Below are 16710 nucleotides of genomic sequence, written 5' to 3' on the forward strand. Positions count from 1 at the left end.
TTTGTAGGGACATGGATGAAATTGGAAATCATCATTCTCAGTAAACTGTCGCAAGAACAAAAAACCAAACACCGCATGTTCTCACTCATAGGTGGGAATTGAACAATGAGATCACATGGACACAGGAAGGGGAATATCACACTCTGGGGACTGTGGTGGGGTGGGGGTAGTGGGGAGGGATAGCATTGGGAGATATACCTAATGCTAGATGACGAGTTAGTGGGTGCAGCGCACCAGCATGGCACATGTATACATATGTAACTAACCTGCACAATGTGCACATGTACCCTAAAACTTAAAGTATAAAAAAAATAAAAAAAAAACAGTTTTGAGGATTAAATAGATTGTGGGTAAAGCCATCAGGAAAGTGAGTAGAACACAGTGGCGAACAGTACATGTTCATGCATTATTATAATTTTATTGTTGTTTTCATTATCATGAATCTCTACTCTGTACCCATGGCATTTCTATTTACAAATAGGTACATATTTGGATTTATATTCCAGATCTTCAGCTTCTGAATCCTATAACCTGGGAAACTATTGAACTTACCTGTTTTTTTTCTCACCTGCCCAGTGATGGCACAGAGAGGATTAAGTGACACTGTCCATATAAAGTACCTGGAACACACACTAGTGCAATATTATTTGCCTTCCTTTTTTCTTCTTTTGAGATTTTAAAAACAACAACATAACAACATTTACCATTATAACCATTTCCAAATGTGTAGTTCAGTAGTATTAGAGCATTTTCACTTTTTCATCTAGTAAAACGGAAACTGTAAACCCACTCAACATGAATGCCTTGTTCCCTCCTCCCTGCAGTTCCTGGTAACCACCGTTCTCTTTGCTTCCATAAATCTGACTACTCTTGATACCTCACTGAATGGTATCTTATAGTGTTTATTCTTTTGTGACTGGCCTATTTCATTTAGCATAATATTCTCAAGGTTCATCCACGTCATAATATGTGACTGGATTTCCTTCCCTCTTAAGACTGAATAATATGCCATTGTACGTTTATACTGCATTTTATTTATACATTCATCCATTGATAGACATTTGGGTTGCTTCCACTTCTTGTCTATTGTGAATAATCTCACTGCTATGAGCATGGGTGTGTAGCTGCCTTCCTTTTATCCCCTATGCTGATGCAAATAATTGAATGACAGGCAGGTACAGTTCCTTTCATGTTTGCCTCTTCATGGTCAAGGCAAATTAATCTTGAATATCACTAGCATTATGGATGTTATGTTTCTCAAGTTGATTTCCTAATATGGAAATTAATATTTTCTGTATTAATTTATTAGCATGCTTCTATGATAATATTTCAACATTAATATTGACGTTCTTAACATTTCAACGTGGAATTAACAGAAGTGAAAGAAAGGAAGCAAAATGGAAAGAAAAACACTCATTCTGCATTTATATGTTTATTACCAGAGGCATAGTTGGCTGTTGGCTCCTACTATGTGGTTGGTATTCAGGGAGATAAAAACAGTCAGATTTTCTTCAAACCTACACTCATCTATATTGTTAACGGAGGTGAGTAATTTTCAACACTATCCTTCCAAAAGTACAGCTCACTTCTGACTTCTTGTTTCATATCTCAGCTCGGTGTAACTTCCTCTGGGAAGGGCCTTCAGACCCCAACTGAGGTCAGAGTCCTTTGGTTTATGTTCTCATAGAACTGTGCTCCTTTTCTTCAGGACACATCTCAGTTTTACTTGGAAGTTTACTACTGCAAATTTTGGTGAACATTTGTCTCCCCTATTAAATTGTACATTCTCTCAAAGCTGGGACATTGTCTATTTTTACTCCCTCTTAAATCCCCTGCTCCTTGTCTGGTGCATAGCAGACACTCAACAAATACTGCTAATAAACCCCAAGTGAATGAAGTTCTCCAAAAGAAGCAAATCACTATGACAGGGGAATATCAAATCTCAGGCTGGAAAAGAGAGATATTTTATGTTGGAAAATTAGGAGAGGAAAAGAATTACTTTTCCAAGGAGAAAGAGCAGAGTCTTGATGTGCTAGGTCAGCAATACTTTCCTATATCGAAGATGATAAAATGGTGTTTTTTTAGAAAAAATTCTTCCTTGAGCTAAGCACTTTTCCATCAAAGTCTAAATGGAAGAAGACTATTTTTTTGATGCATGTGACTTATGCAGTCCATACATTTTCTGTAAGTTACCAAGCAAAATTATAAGACTCTTCACTTTTCTACAATGGCTTTTTGTCTGAAAGATTCCACACCAATAATTATTTAAACACCATATTACAAATCCTCCTACCTGGTTGAGATCATATGCTAGAAACAATAACTCCTTTGGAAAACACAATGTCACAACTAACAGTTCAATTGGTTGAAATGCATACTGAAGCAGATTGCCTTACTAATGTGCCTCAGGCACGTCAGGGGTAAAAGACAGAAAAGACCAGCAAAAGCAGACTGCAGAAGGGAATCCCTATCATCATTCTCATTGCCCCATGCCCTCTTGGTTCTTGAACTCAGTGACTGGGACTATGAATAATAGGCAGAGGGTGGGGGCAACCTTCTCTGGGCATTGAGTCTCCCCTAAAATTGACATTAAAAGAATCATAAGAGAGATGTAATTATAGGCTAGGCACGGTGGCTCATTCCTGTCATCACAGCACTTTGGGAGGCTGAGGCAGGCAGATTGCTTTGAGTTCACAAGTTCAAGACCAGCCTGGGCAACATGGCAAACCCCCATCTCTAAGAAAAACAAATTTACTGGGAGTGGTGGCATGCATCTGTGGTCCCAGCCACTTTGGAGGCTGAGGCTGGAGGATAGGTTGAGCCCAGGAAGTGGAGGTTGCAGTGAGCTGCACTCCAGCCTGGGCAGCAGTGTGAGACCCTGTCTGAAAAAAAAAAAAAGAAAAAGAAAAAGAAAAGAAATTATATTACATTGTCGTAAGATAAACACAGATATAGTCCAGATCCATATCTCATGGTAAATCTAGACTTCATATTGGATGAAGTGCTAGATTACCTCTAAAAGCTTTTCAGCTGACTAGAGTATAAACCTACAATTAAAAAATTTGGCCTTCTTTTGAAAAATGTTTGTTCATATCTTTTGCCAACTTTTTGATGGGTTGTTTGTTTTTTTCTTGTAAATTTGTTTAAGTTCCTTGTAGATTCTGGATATTAGCCATTTGTCAGATGGGTAGATTGCAAAAGTTTTCTCCCATTCTGTAGGTTGCCTGTTCACTCTGCTGATAGTTTCTTTTGCTGTGCAGAAGCTCTTTAGTTTAATTAGATCCCATTTGTCAATTTTGGCTCTTGCTGCCATTGCTTTTGGTGTTTTGGTCATGAAGTCTTTGCCCATGCCTGTGTCCTGAATGGTATTGCCTAGGTTTTCTTCTAGGGTTTTTATGGTTTTAGGTCTAACATTTAAATCTTTAATCCATCTTGAGTTAATTTTTGTATAAGGTGTAAGGAAGGGGTCTAATTTCAGTCTTCTGCATATGGCTAGCCAGTTTTCCCAACACCATTTATTTTATGCAGTCAACAAACGTATAAAAAAAGCTCATCATCACTGATCATTAGAGTAATGCAACTCAAAACCACAATAAGATACCATCTCACACCAGTTAGAATGGCGATCATTAAAAAGTCAGGAAACAACAGATGCTGGAGAGGATGTGGAGAAATAGGAATGCTTTCACACTGTTGGTGGGAGTGTAAATTAGTTTAGCCATTGTGGAAGACAGTGTAGCGATTCCTCAAGGATCTAGAACCAGAAATACCATTTGACCCAGCGATCCCATTACTGGGTATATACCCAAAGGATTGTAAATCATTATACTATAAAGATACATGCACATGTATGTTTATTTCAGCGGTGTTCACAATAGCGAAGACTTGCAACTAACCCAAATGCCCATCAATGATAGACTGGATAAAGAAAATATGACACATATACACCGTGGAATACTATGCAGCCGTAAGAAAGGATGAGTTCATGTCCTTTGCAGGGACATGGATGTAGCTGGAAACCATCATTCTCAGCAAACTAACACAGAAACAGAAAACCAAACACTGCATGTTCTCACTCATAAGTGGGAATTGAACAATGAGAACATATGGACACAGGGAAGGGAACATCACACCGGGGCCTGTCAGGGGTTGGGGGCAAGGGAAGGGATAGCATTAGGAGAAATACCTAATGTAGATGATGGGTTGATGGGTGCAGCAGACCACCATGGCGTATATATACCTATGTAACAAACCTGCACATTTTGCACATGTATCCCAGAACTTAAAGTATAATTTAAAAAAAGAAAAGAAAGAATTTGTCCAAGGTTACCATAGCTAGTAAATGACAACACCAAGTCTTGAGCTTAAGCTCAATCTTCTGATCCCAAATACAAAACTATTAGATGTATAATAAATTGACGGATGGATGCATATATCAATACTACTACTGAGACTTTAAGAAAAAGAAACAAGATCTCTGATCACATTTTGCCAACCAAATATACTACCCTATTTTTTAAGTTTGGCTCCTCTTCTCCAGTTATTTTTCTTTTTAAAAATGAAGTGCCAGGTTGATTATCCAGCTCCTCAGTGTGATAAGCTTGAACATTAAGTGCTCTCCTATAATCCATCTGCAGGGCTCCCCAGCCAACAACTGGTCTATCACAGTCTTGAGCTTTTGGTGCCGAGGTCAATGACACGTGATGTGTGACGAGATGTCCAGCACCCCATCTGACAACATCATCCTGTGTCTCCATGAAGGGGAGAAAGAAGCCAGCCAGCGAACCCTCTGGAAAGGCATTTGCTAACTGCCCACTAGCAATTGTTGAGCGATAACACATGCAGTTCCCCACATGTTTATGCAGAGTCTCAGATTTATCTGACAGTTTTACACCCTCAGGCATGATACACAGTAATTAAAATTAAAAATGTTTTGACAGCCTAAACAAATGGCTATATAAATTAGAAAGCTGTAAAAAGCCACAGTAGCCAAAAATAAAGATATATAGATAAATCATAAAATTATAAACAAGGAAAATATTTTAATACAGGCATGTTTATATCCAGACACTTAGAAATATAGGCTAACTTTTGCCTGAAGGAACATGGTGGGGAAAAAGAACTGTGGAGACTAGCAAAGCCATTCTTTCCTGCCTAGCAATTCTTACCTCTACTCTTCTCTGGTAACTAAAGAAAGGAAGAAATTTGCCGAGGCTGTCCCACTTCCTCAAATTCTATAATCAGCTGTAGGATCTTCAAATTTTAAAAAGCACCTAAATCAGTTGCTTAGAATTTTACTATTAACCTTACCAAATGTGTAAAATGATGTGGGCTGTACAAAACTTGGCTTGCCTTCACATTTCTCAAATGCATGGCATAAAACGTGTGTTTATGAAATGAGCCAAATATATGATCTGCATGTGAACATAATTCCTTTCAACTAAATATGCACAAATGTTTAAGTGTCATTTTTCACTTAAACCTATCAGGTCATTGTCCCAAGAGACCATTGTGTCACCTGGCCTTGATATTTTTCCCTTTCTCCCAAGGAAGCCTGCTCACCACTGCCCTAGTGCATTGAAATATCAGAACATTTCAAAGGAGGAAACAAAATAATTGGAAGTAATCCATGGGATTTTCTGTACCTAGAAGAGCTGGATTGCCAGAAACCAGTCATATCATGTGGATAGTCTTTATGATAAATTTTCAAAGCAGTCCTTTATTTGTCAGAGTTCCTAAAGATCCATTGGTACATCATTATCATGCCTCAGTATCCATGGATTAAGAAGAGAGAACTGCAGAAACCCCAGAGCTTTTCACTGCAGTCATCCTAGACTCCTTCTGCTTCTTCCTGGTCGCCTATTCTCAATCCTTTGTCCTCTTGGCTCCATTTCTTATCCTTAATCCCATTCCTGTCCCCCTTGACTTGGCATTGCTATTTTGTCTTCCGATTTTAATGCTCTACTCCCCCCATACCTCCTAAGGACCTGTTTCAAAAGATCTACTCTGTGTGATCAGCCATTGTGAATCATGTGTTCCTTGTACCAAACCCCCATTCCACACTAATTTTTATAGTCTTGCTCCATCTCCAGGAGGAGGGGAGAGAGAGTTTGACCTTTCTTTTCAAATATAGAAATATAATCATAAAATAACCACATTTGCAATAATCCATGATTGGAGATCTTTACATTTTAGGGTTTCCCAGGTGTTTCTAATGACCAGGCAATTTTATAGCAGAACTCTTTGATTTAGTGAAATCTTAAATAAATAAAAAATAAAAATAAATAAATACTCCTATATGCAGACAGAGAGTTCCTGATAAAACAAAGAAATTATAAGATGAATAAAATCATTTCTTGTTAGATAAATCTGGACCAAGGGTAGCACAATCGAACGCCTAGTGGTATTTAAACAAATGGAATAGACCACATCCAAGGCAACAGAGTCATAAGAATAAGGCTGTGTTACCTTTTTCTTTTTTAAAGAAAGTAAGAAACTGCGATTTAAAAAAATCTTCCAAATGTAACTGTTGACAATTAATTGAATTTTTAAAAACACTCTTTCTACCCTATGAAACAAAATCTTGTCAGCATACCAGAAGTTTCCTCCAGTCCTCAATTTGCAACCTCCAGTTCAGACTTTTGTTTTAGTTCTCTATTCCTGTGAAACAAATTTTCTCAAAATTTAACAACTTAATACAACAAACATTTATCTCACTCAGTTTCTGAAGGTCAGGAATCCAGAGATGGCTTAACTGGATGGTTCTGGATCAGCGTCTCTCACAGGTTGTAGTTAAGTGGTCAGCCGGGGCTGTAGTCATCTCAAGGCTCTACTGGGGTTCAATCCTGTGGCCATTGGTAGTCCTCTGTTCTTTGCTGGCTGTTGGCTAGAGACCTCCATTTCTCTTCATATGGGCCTTTCCATTGGCCACCTGAGTATCCTTACATCAGGGCACTTGGCATCCCTCAGAGAAAGTGACCCACAAAAGAGAACAAGGCAGAAGCCACACTGGCTTTTAAGACATAGCCTCAGATCACATTTTACACTTTCGCCTTATGCTATTGACTGCACAGACCAGCCCTGGTACAATGTGGGAGTGGATTACACAAAGGCGTGAATACCAGGAGATGGGGATCACTGAGGGTCATCTTGGACACTGGCTACTACAGCTTTCAAAATATCAAAATGGTCCTAATCTTAGCTGTTCAAATTTGACTCAGGAATACATAGCATAGTCTTGGGGCCTCTTTTTTTTTAAGCTCCTTTCCTTTGCCATTTCCCCCATTTTCTATCTTCCCTCATCATCAACTTGATTCACAGGATAACACTTACTTTCCTCTTCAATATTCTCTTCAGGCTGTGATTCACCAGTTAGTTCCTGCCCTTCTGGTCCTCCAATCCTGATGCAGTAAAATGCCTACATGTTTGAGTTTGGGCTCCAGCTGGTAATTTTTAGTACCATATGTCAAAGGTCTAGGAGGCAGAAAGTTTAAATTAGAATTAGGAGTCTGCAGGTAACTGTGGCTCAGATACCAAGACTCTGTTCAGCAAATGTTTGTAGAGAACCAAGTATGTGGCAAACCCTGGGCTGGTATTTGTAATTTAGAGATAAATCCAATACGGCAGATAAATCAGGAATTAGGAACCCAGCTGGTTACACAGAGGGATGGGGAATCAGACAGGAAGCGTAGTGATGAACAGGAAACCACTGAAAAGATCTCAGAGACTTCCCGTGAATATGTTTACAGAGTGATAAAAAGACAAGAATGTATAAATTGGAGAGAGTTGAGGCATAGCATAATTATCTTAAAGTTATCTGATTGTCTAATGAATGCTTTCTATAGGAGTTGGTGTCAAGATGTGGGAGAAACTGGATCCAGATGTGTGGGGCAACAAGATAGCAGTTATCTAACAGAAAAGCCACTGTGGCTATAGTGGAGTAGCTTAGATGATGTTTGACAGCTGGAGGTGACAGGTGAGAATAGAAATTAGAGATTTGTTTTTATTCCCAGGCGTCATTTTCTGGAGAGATCGTTGACTGGATCAGTAGTTCTCAACCCTGGCTGTGGCTGTATATTAGAGTTGCGGGGGGAAGGGGTGAACCAGCAAATGTACCTTTCTGGACTCTCCCACCCACAAGATTTTGATTCAGAATATTTGAAGTTTTGATAGAAAAAGATATTTTCCTAAACGGATTACACACAACTCCCTAGTTTCTTAAATAAATTATTCTGAATATGGTATAATTTTTTCTTCATTTTGAAGGTTATCATGATTGTTGATTGATATGGCAATAATACCTTTAGGGGCTTTTGTTATATAAAATGTTGACTCCTCCACTAAATGACCCCAGACTTCTAAATGTTTTGAGTTATTATATTCACTATTATGTAAAAGAGTCAGTAAAACTACCCTGCTAATGGTGTCCAGTCACTGGTGCTATCGGAATCTCTGCTTCAGATAGTGGCTTCCTTCTTTCCAATTTGCTGCCTCTGTTTGTCTCTTGGGGATACAGATGACCAAGCTTATTAGGGTTATCTGTAAAAACATAGATAGACTCTAAGTAAGAGCCTGATAACTCTTCCTATAAATAAAATGTACTTGGTCTTTATTTTATCTATTTAAGTTAATTAACAGGTCTTTTCTTGCTTCTAAATAGTTGATATATCCTGATAATTGACTGCCTCACTCTGGGGATTTCAAATGGAAAGAGAATTATTATAAGAAATTAGAAACCTACACCATGATGGGAATAGCTAGGGAGTACACATCAGGAAAATCTCCTTGGGAGAGATCAGGAAGTATAAGGATCATAGAGAAGCTGCCAACAATAATCTCAACTGCCTGCAGCACTGATATGTGATTCTCATGACTTTAGGGGCCCAATAGAAGCCAGTTCTGGTGATTTCAGATATCTGCAGTACTTCAGTGATGATTCTTAAAAGTCTGACTGGAATCCATGGAAAGTCCCATAAATGCCTAATTTTAGAAAAATTCCTCAAAGTCAAGGGAAGCTGTTGCAGATCATTTTGGCTGTCTATTGCTGTTGCGGAAATAATGACTTACCTTTCTCTTCCACTTTCAAATCTTTCACAATTGCTAGAATCATGTAAGGAAAGTAATTCTGTGAAATACAGAGCCAGACTTCTTCTCTGCAATTCAAAAGAAAATACAGAAGGTATCGAGGGTGTTGTATAGTTGAAAATAGTCTGATGCTGTGCACCCCTTTATCAACTTAGGAATTATACACATTTCTCTACCCATATATAAATTTTCAAATAACAAAAACAAAGGCTTATGGCTAACATATACACCTATACCTTGTATAATCAAAGATGTGCTCACTCTGTTTCCCAAAATGAAAAACAAAAATTTCTGAAGTTATTCTATATTTTCACCTTCTGTTTCCCAAAATGAAAAACAAAAACTTCTTAAGTTATTCTATATTTTCTCTGAGTAATTCTCATTTCTTTTCTCAATGAGTCCTCTTTTGATATTCTGTAATTTAAGCAAGGAGAAATAAATTATTGATTAATATATAAAATATACATAATAAAACTAGAAACAAAATATGTATAGCTAGGACAGTCCTCATTTCTGAAACTGGTCATGAAACCATGCTGGTTATATTTGTTCTTCCTGGTTTGTCATGTTCTGCTTACCCCGGCTAGGATAACTAATTCTGTCCCAAGCTGTCTCTGTCTGTTCAGGCTGCTATAACAAAGTATCTTAGATGCAGTAATTTATAAAGAACAGAAATTTATTTCTCACAGTTCTAGGGGCTGGGAAGTCCAAAATCAGGGCACCAACAGATTCAGTGTCTGGTGAAGGCTTGTTCTCTCCTTCCAAAATGGTCCCTTGCTACTGTGTCTTCATATAGTGGAAAAGCAGAGGGTTGAAAGAGGTAAACACACTTCCTCAAGCCATTTTATAAGGGCACTAATTCCCACTCACGAGGGCTCTGAGCTCAGGACTGAGTCACCTCCTAAAGGCACCACTTTTTTAATACTATTGCATTAGGGATTAAGTTTCAACTTGAACTTTGAAGGGACACAGACGTTCAAATTATAGGATTTTGTTCCTGCCCCATCCCCCCATGTATGTCCTTCTCACATACAAAATACATTCATTACATCCCAACAGACCCAAGGCCTTAGCTCATTCCAGCATCAATTTTAAGGTTAAAGTCCAAAATCTCACCTGAATAACATCTAAATCAGATATGGGTGATACTTAAGGTATGATTCATCCTGCAACAAATTCCCCCTCCAGCTGTAAGCCTGTGAAATCGAAAAAGTTATGTGCTTTCAAAATACAATAGTTGGGACAAACATAGGATAGGTATTTTCATTCCAAAAGGGTGAAATAGGCAAGAAGAAAGGGGTAACAGTTCCCACATAAGTCCAAAAGCCAACAAGGCAAAAACTACTAAATCTTGAGGCATGAGAATAATCTTTTTGAGTCCATGTTCCACCTTCTGAACACACTGAGGCAGAGGCTGGGCCCCCAAGGCTCTGAGCAGCCCTGCCCTATGGCTTTTCTGGGTGTAGCCCACGCAATAACTCTCATGAGTTGTAGTCACATGCCTGCAGCTCTCCTGGGGTGGAGTTACAATGTTAGTGGCTCTCCTAGTTTGATGTCTGCATGTTGGTCCTGTCCACATGGCTGCACTAGTTGTTGCCCTAATGGGGGGTTTCTGTAGTGGCCCTGACCTCACAGCTCCTCTGGGCATTGCCCTAGCGGGTATTCTCTGTGGCGACCCCACACTCAAGACTACAGTAGGCATTGGCCTAGTGAAGGCTCTCTGTGGTGGCCCCAACCCCACAACTCCTGCACTCTGCACACCTACAGAGTTAGCACTACATGCCTGCCATGGAAGTTTATGGCCTCCACCTTCCAGAGGGGAGGCGATGGCAGGATGCACTGCACCTGGGCCCACTGGAGTCACACCTGGGGCAGCCAAAGTACATGGCTCCAGAATGTGTGAAGCAGAAACCTGAGGTAGTTCTGGGCAGTAATCTCTGAGGTCCTATGGGCATGCTGGGCCCCTCCCTGAAAATGTTCTGTCCTCAAGGTCCTAGCACTCTGGGTTTATGATGAAAATGGCTGCCTTGAAGATCTCCAAAAATGTCTTTGGGGTCATTCTTCCATTGTCTTGACGAATAATATCTGACCTTCTTCTGTCCTTACTAGTCTTTTTATCAAACACTTACTTGGCTATAACTTTGGTGTTCTCTCCTGGGCATGCTTTTTCATTCTTAACATGGCCAGAATGAAAATTTTTAAATCTTTAAGTTCTGCTTCCCTTCAATTATAAATTTCATCTTTGTTTCTCTCTTTATTTTTTTTTCTGTAAGCAGTCACAAGAAGCTATGCTTCACCTTTAACACTTTGCTGAGAGATTTCTTCTGCCAAATATCCAATTATATGTTGCCATTAGTTTTAATGGCAAAAACCACAATTACTTTTGCACCAACTAATAGATTTCTTTTAAGTTCTGCTTGCACAAGTATCTAGGACATAAACACAATTCAGCCAAGTTCTTTGCCTCTTCATAACAAAGACAGCCTGTCTTCCAGTTTGTAATAGCATGTTCCTTATTTTTATGTGAGACCTCATTGAAATGGCCTTTGTTATCCATATTTCTACCAACATTCTAATCATAATCACTTAAGTAATCTCCAAGAAGATTGAGGCTCTGTCTACAGCTCTCTTCTTCTGAGCACTGACCAGAATGCCCCTTTATGATCCGTTCATGGCGATATGGGATTTTTGTAGCCTGCTCTTCGAAATACTTTCAGCCTCTGCCCATTACCCAGTTCTAAAGCAGCTTCGACATGTTTAGGTATTTGTTACAACAGCACTCAAGTTTTTGGTACCATTTTCTGTCTCAGTGCATTTGGGCTACTATAAAGAAATAACTTAGAATGGGTAATTTATGATACAAATTTATTTCTCACAGTCCTGGAGTCTGGGAAGTCCAAGATCAAGGTGCCAGCAGATTTGGTGTCTGATAAAGGCTTGTTCTCTGCTTCCAAAGTGGCATATTGTTGCTGTGTTGTTAGGTGGAAAGGCAAAAGAGGCAAACAGATTCCCTTAAGCCTTTTCATAAGGTCACTACACCTGTTCATGAGTGCAGAGCCCTCATGACATAACCTCCTCTTAAATACTCCACCTCTTAATAGTAATGCTTTGGGGATTAAATTTCAACATGAATTTTGGAGGGACACGAACATTCAAACCATAGCACAAACCTTCAATTATAGAGCCATTAGTGGTCCTCCCAGCATTGCATTGCTATAGTCTCCCAATAACTTTTATTCTATAACCAGTAAGTTCTAAGAGTCTCACAAGAGAATATTCTGATTTCAGACTACTCCTTTCTGCCCTGCTGTACAACGTTAGGAAACTGCCCCCATTTTTCCCTGACAACCCAGCAAAATTGATATCTCCAGCTAGCACCACATGCTGCTTTTCCTTAAGCATTAGGTATATAGCATTATGGCTAATTGGTATAAGAAGCCCAAGGTGCCCAGGGAGTATCCTCAACTTCCAGTTGATTGCAATTATTACTGTGCCACTAGTGGAAACACGCCTTCCTTGGGAATTTATATCTTTGAGTTAGAGAGCCCAAAGCTACAACAACAGGAAGCAAATGATTTTGGGGTAGGTTATTAGAAGATAACAGATAAGGGCACTTTTACCCCTTTGTTCTAAGAATTGTATATATTAGCTATAGGAAAAACTGTGCCATTACTGGTTGCTGACTCAAGAAAACGTATGGAGTCATATTACATTTTCCCAGATTCACAACTGTGCATGCACCATAGCAGGGTCATCAGTAGGTTGTTCCACTCTTCTACTAGATCAGTTACATTGGGGTTACAGGCTAGACAGAATCAGTTGCTATCATAGTTGTGTATCTACTATTTTGCTATAAAGTGAGTTTCTTGGCCAGAAGTAATGTCAAGTGTAATACCTTGATGATGCAAAAGATATTCAGTAATTCTACAGATGAAGTTTCTGGTAAAATCACTGCATGGAGAGTAAGCAAATAACTTGTAGAGTAAGTGTTTATTCTAGTAAGTAAAAATTGCAGATTTATTTATGATAGTGCATTTTAATTAAATTACTCGACACCAAAGGATTGGCTAGTCTAGTCTCCCCTAGGAATGACACTATATCGAGCACTCATGTTGTCTCTGCTGTTGACATTTTGGGCACTCAACAGTGACTGTTAATCCATGTTGTTAAGCCCATTCATTAACTTTAACTTCCATGCTTCCTGCCAAGGCCACTTTGTTCATAAACCCATGGCTAGAGAAAGAGACTTTACTGGAACCCACAGGAAAATCTATCTTGTCCACTTGATTAACAGGAGACTCCTTTTGAAGGAAAGCTTTTTGTGAGCATTCGCATGGGTACAAATGTTCTCATGCCTTATGTCGATTCTGAGATTATTCCATCTATGTACTTCTTCCTTAGTTTTCCATGTCGGTGCTCCTCAAATGCACTCCCTTTGACCATCTGGCCAAACCATTAGTCAGTGCCCATAAATTGCCATAAATTTTTACATTTGTATATCTATCCATCTAGGTAAAAATAACAAGTATATGCACTACTAAAAGTTCTGCTGAAAGTATTTCCTTTCCATCATTATCTTTCAGGGTCATCTCAGAATATCCCCATAAAACTGAAGTGGTCCAATTTGGAGTTGTAACAGCATTTTATGTGGAATTATCTGTGTAAAACAGGCCTAAGTTTGTTCTCTCTTACAACTGTTGATGTGAAATTCTGTGTATGGATTAAGGAAGAAGTGACTGTGCAATAATAGTAGGTACCATAAGAGTCAGCTGCCTGTACATGAACTTACTTGTGAATTCATTTCCTGCTAAAATCCAGTTTCATATATAGCACTTCCATTTGATGTTGAAAGTTTGTTACACATGCCCAAATTTATGTCTTGGTAGAGTATACCATACCAAGTTCACAAGGTGTAACTCAGGTGGCATAGTTACTTGGTGTTGTAAGGTCAGTTGTACAGTATTCTTTAGGGCTTAGCAGAAAGCCATTACTGTGCTTCCAAAATGAGAATAATTCTTTGCAAAACAGGACATGGATTTCTTTCCAAATTCTAGAGTTACACTTTGTAATTTTTCTCATTAGGATTACCAAAGACACCGTGTCAAAACCACATGAATCATAGAAAATTATATTACAATTGAATCTGATGGTCATATGGCTAAAATGGAAAATCAGCTTTCACTGGACCTGCCACAAAACTTCCTCTTGCTCTGGGCTCTAGTCACAACTGGCAACTGGGTAAACACTCAGTAAATGAGTAGAATAGCAGAAGATCTTCACTAATTATTCTAATTCTATCTTAGCAGTAGGAGGTACAAAGTACAATGATTTGTCTTTCTCTTTAAACAGGATCTCTCAACATTCCTCAGATTCCTGGACTCCTAGAAACCTCACTGAGGTAGCAGGCCCCTGAATTTTCATAGGATCTTTTTTACCACCCTCTAATATTTATATAATACTTCACAAATTCACTTTGAGTATTTGTTACTTCCAGGTTTAACCAGCCTTGTTATCTATTTAGTGGACCAGTGTGACACTCTATATGAGATGGTGATGTGATCAAAGTCACTTTAGACAAGATCAGTCCTTCTCAAACTTTAATGTGCATAGAAAAATTCAGTAGGTCTGCAATAAGAACTGAGTTTCTGCATTTCTAACAATCTGCCAGGTGACGGTAACACAGCTGATCTGCAGATCACACTTTGAGTAGAAAAAGACTGGTTTCTGTGGGAGGGCCAGAAAGTTGACATACCCCTGAGGAAAGTCAATAATGGTATAATGCTGTCTCTTCCAAGTGAAAGCAAACTGCTTCTGGTGATTCTGCCTACTAGTATAGAGAAGAAAGCATATGCCAAATCAATATCTGCTTATCAGTTTGCAAGGTTTATACTGGATGTGCCCCAGTAAATAGGCCACAGTTGGAATTGTAAATGCAATTGGAGTCACTGCCTGATTAAGTTTGTGATAATATACTTTTATTCTCCAAGAGCATTCCATCTTTTGCACGAGCTAAATAAGGAGACAAAAGAGAATGTAATAGCAATCATCACCCTGCAAATCTTTGGTAGTGGAACTAATCTCTGCATCTCCTTCAAGAAAGCATTAACATTTTTTATTTATTGTTTTGCTAGAAAATGCATTCCAGGTGGTTCCACTTGGCCTTTCCTACCATAATAGCCCTCATTGCATGGCTGAGGTGGTAACCAGAGTATTCAATGTGTATACTGTGCCGGTTGCAGAGTATACCTGCCTCTTCCTTCTATGCATTTAGTAAATGGGAAAATAGCTACAGAGTCGGGTTGTAGATTCCCTGGTCTTACTCAAAATTGACTCAGGCTTAAACTTTATTTATCAACTGACTTTCCTAAGCCCCTGATATATCAGATCCACAAATATGAGTGTTTGCATTAGTTTATAAGCAGTACACTGTGATCTCTGAAAAGTCTAGGTATTTCTATTTATCCGGTATAGAGCCACCACCCTGATAAATAGCCACTTTGGGGAAATGCTTGGAGGGAGATACATAGGTCATACTCGCGGCAGTCTTGTACAGTTTTTCTTCAAGGATCCCAGGCTTACCCTTTATTCAAAAAGCTCTGTCTGTACTGCCTCTAGTTTGGGACTTGAATGGAGTTGTGATTTTCTTCTTTGGTGTCTGAAGTCAGATCATTATTAGGACTAGAGGAGATTTTTTTTTCCTGCTGCTTACATAAATTATGTATATCTTTCTAAGACTGTTTGTCTTCTTTAGTCATAGAGACATTGTGACCACTGCAAAAGATTTCTAAAGGCTGCATCAGACCATTCTGAATATGGTTGTAGACCTGTTATCTGTTGCACAAATGTTGACCATCTCATAGGCACTTAAGCCCTGCTACTTAGCCATCTCCCACTGCTGGTTGCCATGATCCGCCATTGAAATCAAGGAGCCTTTTTCAGGGACTGTATCTCTCACCATAATTCCTGGTTCACAGAGGAAAACCACACAAATCTTTCAAGGATCCTGTTGCTACCCTTCTCACTGCATTTCTTAATACCGTAGTGAAAAGTATGTCCTCTAACCCTCCAGAGAGCACAGTAATGGTGGGCTGTGTGTGAGAACTGATATGATAAATCAGCTTTATCGTTCTGATCTTCATAGACGTCGGACCTCTTCTCTACATCCTACCAAGAAGTTCTAACAATTCAAACCTCACAGGAAGAAGGCTAATATTCAATTTTATTTCACTTAAATAATTAAGCAAAGGATTGAATACTAGCTTCCTGAGATAACACACTGAATGCAAAATCTCCACTAAGTGCACCCACATTGATACATTATTTCTTTTCCCCTTCTCTTGTACTCTTAAAATCCATTTATCTGTACATTCCCTAAGTTCTGCCAAAAGAAATAGGCAACATTCTTCTTTCAGTGGATATGATACCTCTTCCAGAGTCAGGCTTTATAACCATCTGTCTGGAATCTGTCAGGATTTGTCTCAGGTTATGAGTCTGGAAGCAAAGAGAAGTGGTGGTCATGAGTGTTAAGGATTATTGGAATCCCCTTGCAAGGCAACTGTTTCAAATGAAGTCCTTAAAAATGTCTTTCAGCAAGGGAAGGCTAACATTCGTAGTGACCTCTGGGTG

At 39.0% G+C, this 16710-nt stretch overlaps 1 long non-coding RNA gene across 1 annotated transcript in view, besides 1 other annotated feature; it reads left to right on the forward strand.

The window, feature by feature from the left end:
• The window catches only part of LOC105375951 (uncharacterized), a 261361-nt gene that overhangs the window by 59698 nt on the left and 184953 nt on the right, over nucleotides 1–16710 (forward strand). The gene's annotated exons all lie outside the window — the stretch shown is intronic.
• Nucleotides 10279–10780: an enhancer, noted in NCBI's record as "H3K27ac hESC enhancer chr9:1771313-1771814 (GRCh37/hg19 assembly coordinates)". NCBI's record gives its function as "activates a minimal SCP1, AML or CMV promoter by ChIP-STARR-seq in primed H9 embryonic stem cells {active_cell/tissue: H9 hESC(primed)}" and the evidence as "EXISTENCE:reporter gene assay evidence [ECO:0000049][PMID:30033119]".

The sequence above is a fragment of the Homo sapiens genome, chromosome 9 (genome assembly GCF_000001405.40).
Source record: "Homo sapiens chromosome 9, GRCh38.p14 Primary Assembly".
Lineage (NCBI taxonomy): Eukaryota > Metazoa > Chordata > Mammalia > Primates > Hominidae > Homo > Homo sapiens.